Source organism: Homo sapiens, chromosome 1, assembly GCF_000001405.40.
Source record: "Homo sapiens chromosome 1, GRCh38.p14 Primary Assembly".
Taxonomy (NCBI): Eukaryota; Metazoa; Chordata; class Mammalia; order Primates; family Hominidae; genus Homo; species Homo sapiens.
The window spans coordinates 181,436,805-181,456,485 of record NC_000001.11 but is presented as its reverse complement, the minus strand read 5'-3'; the positions used below and the strand labels follow the sequence as shown (position 1 = coordinate 181,456,485).

The window sequence follows — 19,681 nt, the reverse complement described above, 5'->3', positions numbered from 1 at the left end:
AAAGGAGGTGGGTGTCTGAGTATGTGCCAAGGGAATACCTCAGATCACATGGAGGGTCGCAGAACAGGCACAGCCTCTCCTTACCCTCAGGCTCTTCACCCATAGTGAAACACAACTCCTCCTAGTCCAGAACACAGGAGTACCCCCTACAGACACAAATGGTATGTTCTCTAGGTTAATGGACTCTCTCATCTTGTCCTCTGTGACCTCCCCAGCCTCCTACTCACCTGCCCATCCCTCCTGCACTAATTTCCAGCCTTCCTGTGAGGCTGAACTCTTTTCAGTTTCCTCCTCACTCACTGGTACCATCAGCAATGATGCAGTCTCTCTCCAGAAGACCTTGACCATGACTCCAAATGGACCTGGTCCTTCTCCTCATCCTCCCTTCACCTCCCTCCAATTTCTTACCAGTTCTCCCTTCCCATTCCTGGGCTCAACATCCCTGAAACCAAATTCTTCTCCTCCAAACAGGCTCTCTTCCCATTTTAGTCAATGGTAACCATCCGAACCTCAGTCCCACAGGCATAGGCCACCAGTTCCTCCCTCTCCACCCAGTAAATGCATCCTGTTGAGCCTTCTTCCATTCCCTAAGTCCCCTCTGTGACGCATCTGGCACACTACTGCTCATGGGTCCTCCTCACAGAGCTAGGGACACATTCAAGGGCATGGCCTAGGGTGTAGGGCCCAGAAACGAGGCCAGAATGAGCAAAGACCATCTAACCCATTAATGAGTCTAAATTATGGTCAAGGATGAAAAAAAAGAAGTCAGAACTGGAGCTGAGTTACTGAGCATCAGATGCTCTTGTATGCCTGTTTTTGACCTTGCCTTGAGCAGATGAAAGACTAGTTCTGGAATACAAGGTGAACTGGGGCATTGATTCAGTGACTGGGGCAAGTAGTTCAGGACAGTGACCTGGTTAATTGAAAGGAGCCAAAGATCAGTTTTTATTGTGGTAACAACTGGGTGAATTTTTTACGAGCACAGCAGGTAAAAAGACAAGGCATCCAAACTTTTCTCCCTATTGCCCTGAACAGACCCTCCACACTTGCTCCCAAGGCTCTTCTCACGTTATCCTCTCAAGAGGAAGCCTCCCCAAACCTCTCCACATTATTGAATCCTCTCATCCTTCAATTCCTTATCAGTGTTTGTCCTTGTCCTTGGAGCTCTCCCTGAGCACTCCACTCCTCAAAAATTGCTCCTCCCCTTCACTCTGGACTTTTGTGCCCACCAGTGGTTGTCTTAGCTTTAGATTTCAAGGATGAGCCAAATTTCAAAAGAAACCAATATAATGTGGCCAACTTTCTATTTTTTTAAGTATGGGCTTTCAACCACCACTATTTATGCTCCAACATCTCATAAAAGAAAGGGCATTTTAGCACTAAAATGTTGGAAGGATATAATCTCAGAAAATCCTATTAAATAAATGTAGCCTTATGAAATAATCACACCTTGCCCTATTTTTCTCATTTCACAGAAAACTGATGAAAATGTTATCATCAACAAGTACAAATCCATAAATTAGCATTTGGGAACCACAGGCATAGATTTCTCATTTAACATTTAATCATATAGTGCTTTGCATTTTTGTTCACTTTTGTTTTTCCTGTATTGTTTATCCAACTTTTCAACTTTGCATGTCTTGGCTATGAAGTCCCTGTAGTACGCAAAGCCTAGTACATGTGGAATAAATACCAAGTGAATGAATATCAGGTCAGAGGAGGAAAATACTTAGAGGAACTAAGGGGCAGGAGGGAGTTAAGAAATTAAAACTGGTTTAGGGGGAAGACAGCATATTTTCACTACCATTTCTTGCTGCCTTTATGCTATGAACCTTGAATGATGCTAATAAAAATGGATTTGTCTATGATATAAGTGGTCCAGCCAAAAGCACCTCAGATGCAATAGTTCATGAATGCTCCCAAACTCTCAAGCCACCACCTACTTGGGTAGCAACTATGTGAAGGGGAGCATTATATTGGGAGTCAAGACAGGGCCACCCCCTGATTTGCCTTTGGAGCTTCATTTCACCTTGTCTAAGCCTCAACTGTCTCTTCTACTAAATACACCTATTGTAGATTATATTGAAAGGTCCCTTTCAATTCAGAAGGTTGTGATTTTTCACTTCCATTTTATCAGTGTTTGAATAGGAATAATGTACAGAGAAGGTTAAGAGTCTTGTCCAAGGTCCCCTGGAGGCTCTGGGGAGCGGGGTGGGGATGGGGGCCTGATCTCTAGACCCTCACTCCACCATACAGCATGGCTTTCCTGACCACTCACAAGAGTAAAATGCAACATCTGTGCTAGGCCACCACAGCTGTGGTCCTTGATCCCACCATGAAGCCCTTGGATTCATAACAAAAGTAATGAGGTACTATCTAATGAGTGTCTACTGTATGCCAAGCTCTTTCCCTGCACGCTCTCCCACCCTTTCAACCACCCATCAAGGTAGGTATCATTTCCCCTCTGCACTGTGAGAACCCTGAGGCAAGAGAAGTTAAGCAACCAACACAGTAAAGTGAGAAAGAGAGCAGTAACCTATACCCAGTCTCTGTCTGCAGAGCCTGTGTTCTCCCTGCTGTGGATCTGGTGGGTGACCAGCCTATCAGGGGCTAAGGGCTCAAGAGCTACTGGCAATCAAACAGATTTTGCAAAGCATACAACTGAAATACGTGAGTTTGTCTCAGCACCAGAATTCCTCTGGAGCCCACAGCTCTCTATCATCAACCACACCAGCAGCTGGGACTAGATTTATCAGGGTCAGCTCTCCTTGCTAGACCTTCTGTCCAGTTGGCTTCTGGGCCTCTGTCCACTGCGGGATTCTGCCACCAACCCCTACACTTCTGGAGCAGGATATAAAAGAGAAGTTACTTAGCATAATACTAATGTTCTCATTTGGAACCCTGAAATAAACTGATTACTTCCATTTTCAGGCCACCCTCAGCACTTACTCCATCCACCCCTCCCTGCCTCCTCCTTGTATTACTTAGGCACATGCTGGGACCATTAACTCCCTTGAAGGCAGAAACTGTTTGTTAAAATCTGTATCCTTTACAGAGCCTAGAGCTAAGCTTTGCACCTATACTGTAGGTGCTCAATAAATATTTAAGAAGAGGAGAAAGGCTTAGGCCTAGGTTTCACAATTTGTGAGTCAGGAAATTATCACTAAATTCTAGGCAGTTCTCAGCAAGGGAAACTACAGAAATGCTAACTTGTAATGTCACTGTATGATTAGGAAACAAAATTATTTCCTTTGCCCCTGGGCCCTTTGTCTTTAATCTCTAACTCATGCCTACTGGATACATCCAGGCAAACTGTAGCCTTTAAAAAAAGTAACTTAATGGACAAAGGATTGTTTTAATGAACGTACAATTTCTGAGAACAAAGGAATTATTAGATCCAACTACTTGAGATGCACTGGTTTCAGAAAAACACTGCCACAAAGTGTCCAAATACAAGTCCATCAAGATTTGAAGACACTAAAACTGTCCAGCTGATGGTCACAGGGTCAGCAACAATGCATGTCTGGGAAAGGATCCAAGCTGGTAAATGTTTATACTCGTTCTTCCAGTGTCTGGAGTGCCAGGAATCTAGAAAAAGGTGGTAGGGTGTTGGGGCAGAAACGAAACAGATTGTACTGAGAAGAACCACCAGACAACCTAGAACAAGATCCAGAGGGAATAGGCTGGAGCTGGAGCTGAAGAGTTAGGGTTAGAAAAGAAGAAGTGTTTTGCTAGATCTTGTATGTGGTTAAGCACAGGAATTCACACCAACTTCGGAGGAGGGTTTAGGGACAGGCCTACCTAGAGATAGCCTTGAAGACAGCATAGAGTAGGTTTTTCCACATTGGGAAATGCTTCCTTGGGGGAAACCTTCCAAAACAGGCTGACATAGAAAACTGGAAAATTCCTGAGAGCCCTGGCTGAGGTAGGGCTCTGGGAGCAGAAGCCCTGCTCCCTGAATGCTTCCCATCCCCTCCCCATCACCTGCAAGCCCAAGGCATCCCTGAAGGGCTCCAAGGAACACAGTTTGCAAACCACTGGAGAAGTGTGAAAGAATCAAACTTTGGATCTAAAGACCCAGACATGAAGACTGGCTCCATAACTTATTAATTAACTTCTAACGTCTCTGGGCCTCACTTCCTTATCTCTGCAATGTCCTCTAACTTACTTGTTAAAAGAATGAAATGAGGTAGCAGACATCAAAGGGCTTTGTAAACTGCACAGTCTCATAAAAGGCATTTGCTTTTACTAAGAACCCTTCCTAGTTATCCAAGTGTCTAGCCTTTAAAGGGAACTCAAAAGTCTATTTGTCTTCTCACCCAAGGAGCAGCCTCTTCTATTCAGGATTACCACAAAGGCAAATTGATTGACTAAGCCCTCATCCGGCCCTAACCATAGGGGCTCCAAGTTACTTTGTGGGAAACAATTAGCCCCCTTACTCTCTGTGCTACACACCTGCTACTTAATCATCACACCTGGCATGACCATTACTTTCCAAGAGACATTTATCTCGCCTACCCCAATTAGTTCATTGAGGGCAGCAACCTTGTCAGACATCTCTGGCACTCCCTTTAGTCCTGCAGGCCTCACCAGTTGCCTCATGCCCCTGCTTAAAATACATTATTGGCTCCCCACTTCTCGTAGGGTAAAGTCCAAATTCCTTAGCCCTGGGCCCTGTCTTCCTTCTTGCTACACTCTTCCTGAAGACTTTCATGCACTCAAAGGCTTTACCCTTTAGGTGGTGACTCTCAAATAAAACATTGCTAGCTATGACTTTATTTTTTTTGTTTTTCTTTGTTTTTTGAGACTGAGTTTCGCTCTTGTTGCCCAGACTGGAGTGCAGTGGCATGATCTCAGCTCACTGCAACCTCTGCCTCCCAGATTCAAGTGAATTCTCCTGCCTCAGCCAAGTAGCTGGGACTACAGGCATGCGCCACCATGCCCGGCTAATTTTGTATTTTTAGTAGAGATGGGGTTTCACCATGTTGGCCAGGCTGGTCTCGAACTCCTGACCTTAGGTGATCCACCCACCTCAGCCTCTCAAAATGCTGTGATTACAGGTGTGAGCCACCGTGCCTGGTTGGCTATAACCTCTTTCTCCTCAGCTCTTGTCTTTTTACAACCAACTGCCACAGGAACCCTACCACAGGAACTGTCTCCACAGAAGGGATGTTAAAAATATTGATCTGGTATGGCAAGGGCACTAACCAGTCAGAACAGGAGACCTCCTGCTATGTCACACAGTAACTGTTCCATTTCTAGATCTTGAGAATGCCCTAGGTACTGGGTTAGTTAGGGTGAGCGAGGCAGTGGAAGAAAATATATGAGTGCCTGCTAAGGGCTGACTATTCGTCAACAGCACAGAAGTATTTCTATACCTCCACATGCCCATACAGCTCTCATCTTTCCACCCCATGCCTCCACACTTGTGCTGCCTTCTCTGTCTCTGTAGCCATCAATGGCTCCACTATCACCATCCAGTTGCCTAAGCCAGAAATAGGGGTATTCTTATTGCCACCTCCTCTCCCTCAATCCTATTCTTCAATCACAAAGTCCTACTCTTTGCAATTCCTAAATATCTTTCAGATTCACCTGCTTTCTCCATTCTAGTCCTTAGGTCAGGCTACTGCTCTTATCACCTAAGACCACTGCAGTGGGTCTCCCTGATGCTGGTCCTGCCTCCTCCAAGCCGTTCTCTGTATCACAGCTAAAATCATCTCCTTTAAAGCCAAATTTGATCATGAAACTATTCTACAATTGTTCAGTAGCTCTGCATTTCCCTAAGGTTAAAGCACAAATTTCTGCACCTGGCCTATACATTATTATCTCGTTTTTTAGTTCCTGCTAATCTAATCTCTCCCCATACCTCCATCCATGATATTACTGCGCTCTAAAAACCACCCATAATCTCGGTTTCTAATTCTCTCAATTGCCAAATTATCTCTGGCCTCTGGGTGTTTTCCCATGCCATCTATTCTGCCTAGAACTTGTCTTTCCTTCTTCTTGAACCCCTTCTACACACAAACACACACACACACATACACACACACACACACACACACAATCCCCCTTCACCTGAAAATCTCCACTTTGTTTTTAGGTTTAGCTTGTATGTCAGTTCTTAAAGGAAGCTTTTCCTGACCATCCACTACCAAGATGGGGTTGGGCACTCACTGATATGGTTTGGCTCTGTGTCCCCACCCAAATCTCATATTGAATTGTAATCCCCAATGTTGGGGGAGGGCACCTGGTGGGAGAAGGTTGGACCATGGGGGCAGACTTCCCCCTTGCTATTCTTGTGATAGTGAATTCTCATGAAATCTGGTTGTTTGAAAGTGTGTAGCCCTTCCCCCTTTGCTCTCTCTCTTCCTCCTGTTGCAGCCACATAAGACATGCTGGCTTCTCCTTCACTTTCCACCATGATTGTAAGTTTCCTGAGACCTCCCCAGCCATGCTTCCTGTATAGCCTGCAGAACTGTGAGTCAATTAAACCTCTTTTCTTCATAAATTACCCATTCTCAGTATGTCTTTATAGCAGTGTGAAAACAGACTAATATAGGCACCCTCCTATGTGCCCCTGTGCCCCTATAATACCTTATATTTCCCAACCACTCCCCATAGCAATGATAACACTATATTGCATTTGCCATTTTAATTGAGAAATAAGTTGGTCATTTTTTGTCTTTGAATATCCAAAATAGATGTTTAATCAATGTTTCCTGAAATAAAACAAAGGAATTCACAGCCTAGCACCTTCACATAAGGTCATCTGTGGATAGGCATTGGCAGTGCAACAGAAAGAAGCCCCAGATGTCTGCTCTCCTGGGGCCTCCCACCCTCCTGGATACAAACAGAAAGAAGCCAACACCACTTCATGCACACTTCTGACTCTCAATGCAGAAGCTAAGGGGGAGAAGAGATCCCAATAGACATTATAAATTCCTCAGGAGCCAGGGCCTAAAAGCAAGTTAGTAATTTGCAATCCTGATATGTCAGAGTCAGGTCAATCAATGTGCAAAGACAGAATTGTGGTGTGCTGCCAGCCTGTCAGAGCAGTACCCAAATTGGAAGAAAAGAGCAAGAATACTGAAGCAGGACATAAGCCGATCACATTATTTAAAAGTGTGTATGTGAGCACACATATATGTGTATATGAGACTGAAGTAACTGCAGCCTCCATGAGTTGGTACTGTGGCAGGCATCTCAGGGATGGAACGGCATGTATCTTGAGATTTTTCTCATTCAGACACAAATGAAGTATCTCTGGCTTGGAAACGTGAGCTTCCAAAGTGCCACAGCATCAATAGTCTACCCACATCCAAACAAACTGCACTCAAAATAAATCAATTAACACACTGCTGGGGTGTTTCACAGAATGGGAGGCCTCCAGATGTGGCCCTGCCAATGGCCCCACCAAACTTGCCGCTCATATCTGCCCCATCCTATCTCCTTGCACCCTCAATTCCTGGAAGGTCTTTCTCTGCACAGCTCCTCCCATTATGACTGAGTTGGCACAGCCACTCCAGGCCGTTCTGTGCCAGTCAACCGTGCTGGCTGGGGCAGCTTGAATTGACCAAAGGCAGCCTCTCTGCAGAGTCCCAGGCAGCCTCTCTGCAGAGTCCCAGGCAGCTGAGATGAGCAGGACAGAGGAGGCTTGGACCAGCTTTCCGACTGGTATGCCCTCCACCTGTCACACCCAGGGGAGGCCCTGCAGGGATAAGATGCCTGGTTCCACTTTAAGCCACTTAGTTGACTTAGAGCTCAGCCCCACCAAAGGCCTTGAGACAAAGTCTCTTCACTTTATCAGTTATCTCTCTTTTCCCAGGTTGTGGTAATATACAATTGGTCTGCTGCTTATCAGAGGCTGGAGTAGGGGAAATGAGTAATCTATCTACGTCAAACTCAGACTTCAAACAGACTATAACGAACCTGGAGGAAACACATACATTTAAATAAGTGATTACTTCTGAGGCTTTTAGTTGAGATCCCAGGAGAAAAAATATGATGTGGTGGAAAGAGAAACATTCAGATTTGGAATCTTAGCCACCTGAGCTTGAGTCCTGACTCCTACGTTTACTAGCTTTTGGACTTCAGGAAAGTTAGTTAATTTCTCTAAACCTCAGTTAACTCATCATCAAACAAGGATAGTATCTATCTCATCTGGTTGTTGAGATGTTAGAATGAGGGGATGCATGTGCAGATCTAGCATGAGGTTTGGCATACAGTAGGTGCTCAAAAAAAGCTAATTTACCTCCTCCCCATTGTAACCTCTAGAATTTAAATTACATGTATTGTGTTTAATGAAGAAATCATATGTGGTACACAGAATAATGTCCCCCTCAAAGATGTCTACATCATAATCCCCAGAACCTGTAAATTACGGGAACTAAGACTGCAGATGGCATTGAGGTCGCTAATCAGCTGACCTTAAAATGAAGAGATTTATCATGGATTATCATGGTCTGACTAATTACATAATCTCTTATCTAATCACACCAGCTCTTAAAAGCAGAGATGAAGAGAAAAGAGTGAGTTCAAAAGACAGAGCATGAGAAAGACCCCACCCGCTATTACTGGCTTTGAAGATGGAGAGAAGAGGCCACAAGCCAAGGAATGCAGCAGCTTCCAGAAGCATGAAAGAGCCCTTAGGTTACAGCCAGCAAGGGAAGGAAACTGCGACCCTACAGCCACAAGACTTGACTTCTGCCAACAGCCAGAAGGAGCAGGAAATACGTTCTCCCTGAGAGCCTCCAGAAAGGAACACAGTCTGCCCACACCTTAATTTTAGCCTGGGGAGGCCCATACCAGGTCTCTGCTTTACAGAATTGTAAGATAATAAATTTGGAGTTTTTTTAAACTACTAAATTTGTGGTCATTTGTAAAGGCAGTAACAGAAAAACTAAAACACTTTACTATCTATACGTAGATTTAACTGCTTTTTTTTTTTTTCTTTTTAAGAGATGGTCTCACTCTGTTGCCCAAGTTGGAGTACAGAGGTGCAATCATATCTCACTGCAGCCTTGAACTCCTGGGCTCAAGCCATCCTCCCACCTCAGGCTCCTGGATAACTGGGACTACAGGCACACCACCATGCCTGGCTAATTTTTTTTTTCTTTTTTTTTTTTAGAGATGAGGTCTTGCTATGTTGCCCAGCTGGTCTCAAATTCCTAGCTTCAAATGATCCTCCCACCTTGGCCTCCCAAAGCTCTGGGAATGAAGGCATGAGCCACCATGCCCAGTCTAGATTTAACTTTTAAATACAGTTCTATTTTTATAGGGGGGGAAAATCCCAAAATAGAATAACAAGCAGGTTTTCTTTTACTCAGTTAACTATTCCTAAGAGAAACCTTGATATTCTGGATATTTGAACCCTGAGACTAATCCAGGCACCCTTTTCTCCTGGTAGCAGCTTGTGCAATGAGGTACATTTGGGAAGAATGTAAGAACCTTGGAAGTGCAACCTTACCAAATCACCCTACAGTGAAGGATAATATTACAAGCTTAAAAAACAATGGCCCAGATTCTTCGGGAATTAAGAAGAGTCCAACAGGTGCAGTTCAAAAGAACAGCACTCCTAAGAATACTGTAATTTAAAGATAGGAAACAAACCAGGTACCATTTACACCAAACACAGGATCTGGAAATAACACAGTGATCTAGTAGGTGCCACAGCCCCACCAGCCACCAGAAGAGCTTTCTCAGTGAAACAAATGGCACATTTCATGATGTCTCCCAGCATGTGAAAATCTGCTCTACAACCAGACAACAAGATACGAGAGTGTCCAAGGGCACGTGCTGGAAGGCAATAATGGGATTGAGCAGACAGCATTTGAACCAAGACAAATTCTTCGCTTTCAGTCCCAAAGACTTCTAGATTTCAAGAGCCCAAGCCAAGAAGCTGTAAACATGAATTCAGCATGGCACTTGATCATCTTTTTAAATGCCTCTGAATCTTCATATAGTACATTAGCCACCCCAACACCAGGAACAAGAAACTGATGGCAGTACCTCTACGCATTGTGCACTGACAGAGTCCATAGCCCCTGTAATGAAACAGCAGTCTGCTGTATTAATTAGATAATCTATAATAGCTTTATCCATTAGGCCGACTGTATGCTGACGTGCTCAGAATGAAACCCTTGGCACCAAGCAAGCCTGGGACCTTTGGCAGAGATTCACTTCATCCTTTATTACAGACCAAGGCAAAATCTAAGCTGTGCTGCAAGGGCAGGATGGCACCCCTGTGATGACCTCACAGATATTGGGAGACTCCAGAACAATGGCCCCTGCCACATCCTCTCCCAGTCCTGGAAGTCCCCCCAAAGAACACCACAGTCTGGTAAGGTACCTAAGACTGCCCCAGACATCTGAGGTCAGCCCTGCTAGTGAGCATAGAAGAAGCCAGCCTAGAAAAATGATGCTATTTTACCTGGAAAGCAAGTTGTCAGGTGGGCTCCAAGATGAATGAGTGACAGTCATTTGCAGAAAAAAAAACATGCATTCACCCTTACATTCCTCTGCTGTCCATAAGTGCTGGGGTGCCCAGTGTGGTGCGCTGTTAAGAGCAATTATCTCCTGAGACTGGGGTTGCTGGGGATTCTTTTGAACCAGTGGAAATTCTGGAGCCATGTGCAAAGGTGAAAAGATGCTCTCCCCATACTGATGCCTCCCTTTTTGGAATCTGAATGATCTTACTGCATGAATCACTAATTTAGCAAGTCAGGTGAGCTTGAGACCAGATCTGTCAAGAGCTACAATTTTTAACTCTTAACTTAGAATGCTCCCCAACTGCTGCCTCTGTGTCAGGCTGATCCACCCAGTTCATTGAGGGCAAGGCCCTTGTGTGCTACATCACCTGTTGTACCTCATACTCCTGGTGTAATACCAATTACAGGACAAGTATGCAGCAAAGACATGAAGTTGGGGAGGACTGACAGAAGCTCACCTACCAATGAGCCAGCTACACAAGGCACTTCCTCTAGGCCAGAGAATCACTTCCATCCTTCATCCTCACTTCCTATCCTTCATCCTCTCCAGCCCTGAAACCCAGAAGCATGGGGAATAGCAGGGTCATCTGGTGTGTTCATGTTTTCCACTTTTCCACATATTTGCTTAAATTCATGCTAAACACAGAAGAGGCACTCAGGAATAGTGTTGACTTGGAAATATATGAAAAAACAAATCTTGAATTGGAAGATTATGTATTGTATTTTAATCTTTGTTTTCAATTACAAAAGAAGTAGCCACAGAATTTCCTAAATACTAAGTTCCCTAGTGCATGGAAAAGGAGAATTGGTTAGTGCTCAGAAAGAAAGGGATTCCTGCCCTTAAGAAATTCAAAGTCATGAAGGGGAATGAGACATGAAAACAAATAAGTATAGAAGTGTTGATCAAGAAAGTAGGCTCAGTACGTATCTCTCTTTCTTTTCCTCCATTTTGTTGTGTTTTGTTTAGGAACATATCTAAAACTAGTACTGGAAAACATGAATGCCATCAGTGAGCCAGAGATGTGAGAAATTTCTGAAAGATCAGAAGTCAAAAAATTTACAGAGAGAGAAGACAGAGGAACCACAGCTGGGAAAAATGGAAGAGGAGACCCCAGAGGTGGGAGCAACCCCAGGGGACTCCAAGCAGAGTAAGTTGTCTACGGAGCACTCATCATGGCGGTGAGCTGGGGAATCACATTCTGAGCTCCTGAGCTTGCTGGCTGCTCCCATCTCCCCAGCTGGTGCTGGCCTGAATCAGCAGATGAATCAGCAGATGACCTAAAACTAAAGCAAAAAGTGCATCTGCTGGGGTCAGACAGGAGGGGCAGGGTCCCAAGTAGATAGCAAGGAAGCCCTACATTCAGAAACTAAATTATCTTCCCCAAACTATTCTTCTTCTCACCCATCTCAAATCCATTTTTCTTCCAGAATTCTCCATCTTACTCTACCCTGCTGCTGTAGTCAAGTACCTGGGAGTCCTCCCTTCTCTTTCCTTTCTCTACTTCTCCAGATAATCACCAAGTCCTGTAATTCAAATTTTAATGTCCCCTGTCAATTCCCTCCTCCCTTTCCCCCCATAGCAGTTCCAGTACCTTACACCCTCTCTTTTACCTCTCCTTCTCCATCTCTCCCACATCACACAATATAAAGAAAAATCTTTTTTTTTTTTTAATAGCACAGTCCACCTTAGCCTTGGAGGACACCTACTCTGTTGAGTGAATGCTTTGGTCAGCCCCACCTGGGGACATGCCAGAATAACCCAGATGCTCACTGGATTGCTATCAAAGGAAGGCAGCTCAACTAACTGCAGGGCTTTTTCTCGGCCACCCTGCCTATGCTGCGGGAGGGAAATGAATTACTTGGAACAATGGAGGAGATACCAAGGGATCAAAGCAAAAGAGTGAGAAAAAATAGATGAACCAATCCTGGAAGTAGAGCTGAGAAACAAGCATTAGGAAGAACAGAGATGTTAAGAATGAATTCAAGGAATTAAAGGAAGTTTGTTTAGATGATGTTTAATGCAAAATGTCTTCTTGATCTGGCCCCAGAAAATCTTCAGTAAAAGCTCCATTTCCCATCAGTGTACTATGAAACTAAATTATTTTGAGGATTCATCAAAGCACTAAGTCCTGCTGTGAGGCAGATACAGGATGAGAGCTGTCACATATACATTCTATGCATAATCAAATTTATTGTGCTGCAGGGGGAAGAGAATGGATCCTGGAGTTTGACGGACCTGGGATCAAATCCTGGCCTCACCATTGGAGAGACCTCTGTCTGCTCACAAAGCCTCAGTATTACCTTATCTGTAAAACAGGGATAAGAAGCCCTGCCTTACACAGTTGCTGCAGGACATGCCACCTCAGAACCTGTGTGTCTTTATAGCTGTGTAGTGAGGTGATAAGACTGTGGTCCTGCCTGCAGCAGGCTATCTGCCTCCTTTTAAATCTGTACCACCCTTTGTAGTTTTCCTCAGCAGCAGGCTTTGTTTTAGAATACCAGGCCTCAAAATACATTTAAGATATTTTCTTAGTCATCTCCAACATCTCAGACACAAAGAGAGAGCACATTTTCTGATCTCTTATCGCCATGGGGAAAACCCAGGGAAGAGACAAAGAAACCATGAAGTATGAGGTTGAAATTGAGACTATGGAGTTCGTGTCAAACATCTACTGGAGGCAGACAGCAGAATGGACCTGGATCTTTGGTTGAGAAGCCTGAGGCTGTACAGTTCTGTCCACCACCTTACTTTCATCTGGTATTTCATATTCTGCATAGTGCTTTCACACATTTTTATATTAGTTCTGTAAAGTAGAGAAAGTGGAGATTTTTTCCCATAGTTTGCAGAGAAAGAAATTGAGTATAAAAAAGTAAAGTGGTGTGTGTAAACTTACACACTTTGCAAAGCCAGAGCCAGGACTCAAACTCTAGCCTAGTGCTTCCTACTAAGTTATGCTGCCCCTCTGCACTGGGCCAGCTTATCTCCATTTGGGCTTTTCTTCTCCTTGGTTTAGAATTCTGCCCCTCCTGCACAATAAGCCAGAGAGGCCGGGTGACCAGGGCGCTCCTGACAGCAAGGCTGGTCTGCAGAGATAGACTTCCTGCAGAGGGAGCAGCCCACGTATGGGACAGTGGGCACAGCTGCACTAAGATCCTTTCTCTCCCATGGGGTGGAACATCACCTATGGAGCCCATTGACCCACCAATCACTGTCTTCTGGGGAATGGAAGGAAGAAAGAGACAGGATGTGGAAGGGCTTGAAATTGAGGGCCTTTGAGTTTATCTGAACACAAAGAACCAGGACATGGTCATGTCCTCCAACTCCTTCTAGGATATTATAGAACCAGGTCACTGGGAGGCTGTTTTGAGACCCTGCCATCTGGGCAATAGGCTGTGCTGGCCTGCCCCCAACAGAGGAAGTGGGGAGGTGGCCCACTGGAAGGCACTTTGTAACAGCTGGAAAGAGAAGGCGCAAGAACAAAATGAGGAGCAAAGATGAAGCTCTGTGTCCTTCACATCTGTGCCCTTCACACCTGTGTCCCCCACATCCATTCCCTTCATACCTGTGCCCCTTATACCTGTACCCTTCACACATGTTCCCCCACACCTGTGCCCCTTACACCTGTGCCCTTCACACCTGTGTCCCTCACACCTGTCCCTCATACCTGTGCCCATCACACCTGGCCCCTCACACCTGTCTCCCTCATGCCCTGACCCTCATACCTGTGTCCCTCATACCTGTGCCCTTCACACCTGTGTCCCTCATACTTATGCCCCCATACCTGTGCCCCCCACACTTGAGTCTCTCATACCTATGCACCTCATACCTGTGCCCTTCACACCTGTACCCTTCCTCCCTAAACCCAATCCTCCTCTCCCCATGCCCCAAGTGAGATGGGAAGCAGAGCTGCTACTTTTTGCAGCCTATTACATGGCATGCCAGAGTCCAAGGTCCGTGTGGGCTATAAAATACTGTGATTGTGTTGACAACACAACCTGCAAATGAGTAGACCTGGCAACTTCTGGCTCTGAGCTGTCAGATGAAATGAATTAAGGCTTTTCTAACTCTCGGCTCCCCTCCTTTCTTCCCTCACTCTCTCCCAGGCTGCTTCACATTCTCAAAACAGAGGCTTTCTTACTGCCAGCCACTTTCTCTGGCCCCTTTCCTACTATGCTATGTAGAATCAGGCTAAAAAGACACAAGAGTTTGCCTCCAGCCCAAACACACTTACAGCTGCCCGCAAATCCCAGCTCCCATGCAAACCCAGCAAAGCAGGAAGAGAAAAGCAGAGGCGGCGCTTGATAAATTCCTTTGAGGCCCAGTTGTCAGTGAGTCTCCCATATCCGATATGATGACTTTTAAGTTCTGAGTACTAGAACACACAGTGATTCGAGTGTCTGCATTAACCAGATGTGATGACAGAGCAAACTTGGAATTTCCAATCTGGGTAGGAAAGAAAAAGAATGACCAATCATTGTGTTCTTAAACCTATAGCAGCCTTCCAGTAGCACTTTCTTGGCATCAACAAATGTTAAAAGCAGTGAATTGGGCCAGGTGCGGTGGCTCACGCCTGTAATCCCAGCACTTTGGGAGGCTGAGGGAGGCAGATCATGAGGTCAGGAAATCAAGACCATCCTGACCAACATGGGGAAACCCCGTCTCTACTAACAATACAAAAATTAGCTGGGTGTGGTGGCAGGCGCTTGTAGTCCCAGGTACTCTGGACTTCTGCTGAGGCAGAAGAATTGCTTGAACCCGGGAACTGGAGGTTGCAGTGAGCCGAGATTGCGCCACTGCACTCCAGCCTGGGTGACAGAGTGGGACTTTGTCTCAAAAAAGAGCAATGAATTGTTAACTTAGCCGATTAAAGATGATAAGGATAAAATGAAGCCTTGCCATCCACTGTGGAACACAGATTTGACATAGCCCCTAGGGGCCAGGAAGCCTGCTTTTCCAGACTTTGGGAAGAGCTGGGCGCTTTTTTTTTTTTTTTTTTTTTTTTTTTTTTTTTTTTGAAACAAGGTCGTCTCGCTCTCTCACCCAGGCTGGAGTGCAATGGCATGACCATGGCTCACTGCAGCCTCGACCTCCCAGGCTCAAGCGATCCTTCCACCTCAGCTTCCTGAGTAGGATCATAGGCATGAGCCACCACACCCAGCTAATTTTTTTAAATTTTTTGTGGAGACAGGGCTCTCACAAGGTTGCCCAGGCTGGTGTCGAACTCCTGGGCTCAGGCAATCCAAGGCCTACCCCAGCCTGGATCCACCGCAGCCTCCCGAAGTGCTGAGTTTACAGGAGTGAGCCATGGTGTCCAGCCAAGCTGGGCATCTTAATAGCAGTGGCCCCAGGCAGGGCATCCTCTGTTGAGAGCATGATGTCATTCTGGTCACCCACAAAGCTATTTCAACTTTTTCAGTAATCAACATCAACCCTTTCTGCCTCTGCCTACCCTGCAGGTTCAAACACAGACCAATCACTCCCCCAAATTTGGGGGAGTTTCAGCTTGCTATTGTTCTTTGGTGGATTGACAGCTTCTTTGACACACACAACTTTCAGTCCACCTCCCCTGGGCCACCCTGCCCAGAAGCATTGTGCTATGCAGCATATCTGTGGATTTTAAAAATTGAAGTGAATTACAATTAATTTCCTTTGAAGAATTTCAAGACACCCCTGGGGCATCAATAAGCAGGATTGGGTATCACTGATGTAAGGTTTTACTCCCAGGGATGGGAAAGTTTCCATTCTTCGCTCCTTCATCTCCTTCTATGGAAGCATACGACAATTGCCTCTTTCCCCCGCACACTCATGCAACCTAAAAAATATGTAGCCCAATGCTGGAGATCATTTTCCAAAGAAAACATCTACCTGATCACAGGTGCTGCCTGAGATTTGGTCACCAAACCATACTGAGATAATTGACACGAAAGTACTTTTGAAAGGTCTAAAGCATTCTATAAATGTAGGTCTTTATTATTTCCTATTATGACTATTATTGCCGAAAGGATTGTACTCCACATACCACGCTCTGTTTACCACTTGATCTAGAGCCTTCTGGCCATCTTGGTGGAAATGCCCCCTAGACTTCTGTCCCCTGGCACTTAGTAGGATTCAATGTTTTTGCGATTGGATTAACTTGAAAAGCACTTCCGAAAGGTACTTCTTAAGTAGAAAAGATGCTGCCTCCCTGTGGGGATAAATTTGGCCATCACTCGGGAAAATCCATTTTATGTTTTTATACCTGTGACCATATGACATGTTATGTTCTTGGAAGTTAGTATTATACTGTATCTGTGGGAGAGGCTTGCCCTTTTGTGGGGAAATGCCTTAGATGAGCCTCTTGCCAGGGCACGCACATACACCAAAAAGACTACAAACACCGTGATGCAATTAAAGGTGACAAATAAGTACAGATCACTGCTGGTCACTGTGCTGGGTGATGGGGACACCAGGATGACTGAGTTGCAGCCCTGTCCTTAAGGGGTTCATCCTCTAGAAAGTAAGGCAACTGATTGTGTATACCGGTTTCACACCACAAGCAACTCGGAGCAATTTGGGAGCAGAAAAAAGGTAGAGTCTAGCTCTAACTGCCATAGACAAAGTCATGGCCTACTCAAGCAGGGCATGAAACTTGGTTTAAAGGCAGTTCTTTAAAAAAAAAAAAAAATCTAAATTTGGGAAACTCTAACCTTCTAAAATTTACAGGGAAAATATCTCAAATTTGAAATCTCTGTCTTTAATTTTAGACATATTATTATTCTCTATGTCTGAATTGACTCCAGATGCTACAGGGCTTTTTCCCCCTTCAACCCCCTGCCTAGCATGGGTACCATCTCTGACATATTTAACATACAAACTTAAATATTCAAATATCCAAATCAAATAGGAAAAGTTTGGTAGGTATGTTTTTAACTTAACATATAAGTCATAATATGTTATAAATCTCATCCAGTTCCTATTGTTTTTTACTCAACACTGTTGTGAAAATCTAACCATGCTGCTATATGTGTTTAGGCTGTCGCTTCTCCACTGCATATCCCTCCCATAGATGCTCCACCACACTTTATCTATTCCCTTGGAATGGGTACCTAGGTTGCCTCTAAGTCCCTGCTATCACAAGTAAAATACTACAATGAAATCTTTGTACACATCTTTTCAGAATTTATCTAGGACATATATACCCAAGAGTGGGATTGCTGGATTATAGGTCAGGCACACATTTCACTTCACTAGATTCTTCCAAAATAAGCGTACCAGTTATGCTCCCACCAGTGTACGCGTGCAAATTTCCATCTCCCTCATCAGTGACAAGAGTGGTATGATCCACCTTTCTGAATTTTGCCATTCTCATGGGTATAAATAAATTTCTCCTAATTGTTTATATTTGTATTTCTATATTGGGGATTTCTAGCCTAAAATACCATCTGAATGACAGTCTTTGATTTAGACTTTCCCACTCCCCACCTGATGATTTAAAAAAATAAAAAGGCAAAAGCAAATGGTATTTTTAAAAATGAGAATGGAATTGGAACAAACCTACTGCCCTGAAAGAATTTCCATAAATGCACCATTCCCCATCCACAATTCCAGCTCCACATCATATGGACCTAGGGATTGTACTACCCAGAAAACCAGGAAGTCAACTTCTCTTGCATGAATATAATTTTGGAAGTAGAGAGAATACTTTTGCCCACTCTAGCCTTCAGTTCCTCTGCTTCTAGAGCCATTATGAGACCAAAACTCCTAAGAAAAGGGGCCGGAAGTGAAAGCAGTGGGTGGAAGTGGCCGTGCATATCATGTTCTGAGACATATGCTACTAAACAAGGAGGGCTGAACTGGGCTCAAGACTGGTCCTGGTGACAGCACCCCAAGGGAGTATGGCCACCATTCTCACCACACACCTCCCTTAACTGTTTAGTATAATCTGGAATTGGAGCCACACCATAGATGGTAGTGTCATTTGTGGGGAAAGGAAGACATGAGGAGGAATAGACTGGAGGATGGCATAAGTCAAAAGTTCCTTGGACCTGTTCAGTTGAAGACTCTCATTAGACACCTGAGTTAAGATGTCAAGGGAACAGCTGGATTTCAGCCTCAGGAGCTCAGAGGAGAGATGAAGGCTGAATCTATAAATGTGGGAGTCATTTACATGTGGATTTATGTAAACCTACAAAAATGGGTGAGATCCTGGGAGTGAGCATAGACAGAGAAGAGAAGAGGGCCCAGAAGCCAGCCCTGGGGCACACCTACATCAGGGGTATAGCAGAGGAGCAAGAACCAGCAACAGAGACTGGAATGGGACAGCCAGTGAAATAGGAAAACTAGAACAGCATGCTACCACAAAAGCCAGAGAAGCAAATGCTTCAAGAATGAGAGTCTAAGTACTCTGAGAAGTCAAATCAAATAAAGACAGAGAAAGAACCATGGGACTCAGGAATGTGGGCATCACTAATGACCTGAACAAGAGCAGTTTTTGTGAGCAGACCACCTGTTAGAGTGGTTAGGAGGGGCAGGAGATGAGAAAGTGGGGACAACATTCGCCACTTTTCTGAGAAGTTTTGCTATACAGGAGAGCAGAGAAATGGGACCGAGGATAAAGAGGCGTATGAGGTAGCAAGGATTCTTGTGTTTTGTTCTTATATGTGACATTCTATTGCATGTTTTTACACTGGTGGGATGATCTAGTAGAGCTGGAGAAATTTATAGCACAGAAAAAAGAAAGAATGAGATCAAGAGCAAATGTGGAAAATTTTAAAAGAGAATATAAAACTGTCAGAAGTTAGTCTACACATATTGGCCATGCAGTGAGCACAGAAGTCTGTGGCAATAAGAGGGTGTTGCATGGGCTCCAGGGTGACCACATGTCAGAGAAGCCTCTGGCAAGTGCACAGAGAAATTGCTGTAGTCTCACTAGAAACATGCAGTTATTGACGGCTCTTGGTTTTTCGTGTTTTAATGGATAACATGCTTTTTTGGGGGTTTTCTATTATTTTAATTCATTTTAATTGACATAATAATTGTATATATTTATGGGGTTTAATGTGATGTTTTCATATATATTTAAATTGTAGATTTTACATGATAAAATCAAGCTAATTAACATATCCATCACCTCATATACCTATTTGTGGTGAGAACATTTAAAATCTACTGTTTTCGCAATTTTGAAATACGCAATCTGCTATTATTAACTATA

General features: G+C 44.4%; 1 protein-coding gene across 11 annotated transcripts in view, besides 1 other annotated feature; it reads right to left on the bottom strand.

The window, feature by feature from the left end:
- The window catches only part of CACNA1E (calcium voltage-gated channel subunit alpha1 E), a 490,386-nt gene that overhangs the window by 351,599 nt on the left and 119,106 nt on the right, over positions 1-19,681 (bottom strand). The gene's annotated exons all lie outside the window — the stretch shown is intronic.
- Positions 2,421-2,550: a silencer, noted in NCBI's record as "silent region_1611". NCBI's record gives its function as "represses an Ori minimal core promoter by ATAC-STARR-seq in GM12878 lymphoblastoid cells {active_cell/tissue: GM12878}" and the evidence as "EXISTENCE:reporter gene assay evidence [ECO:0000049][PMID:35858748]".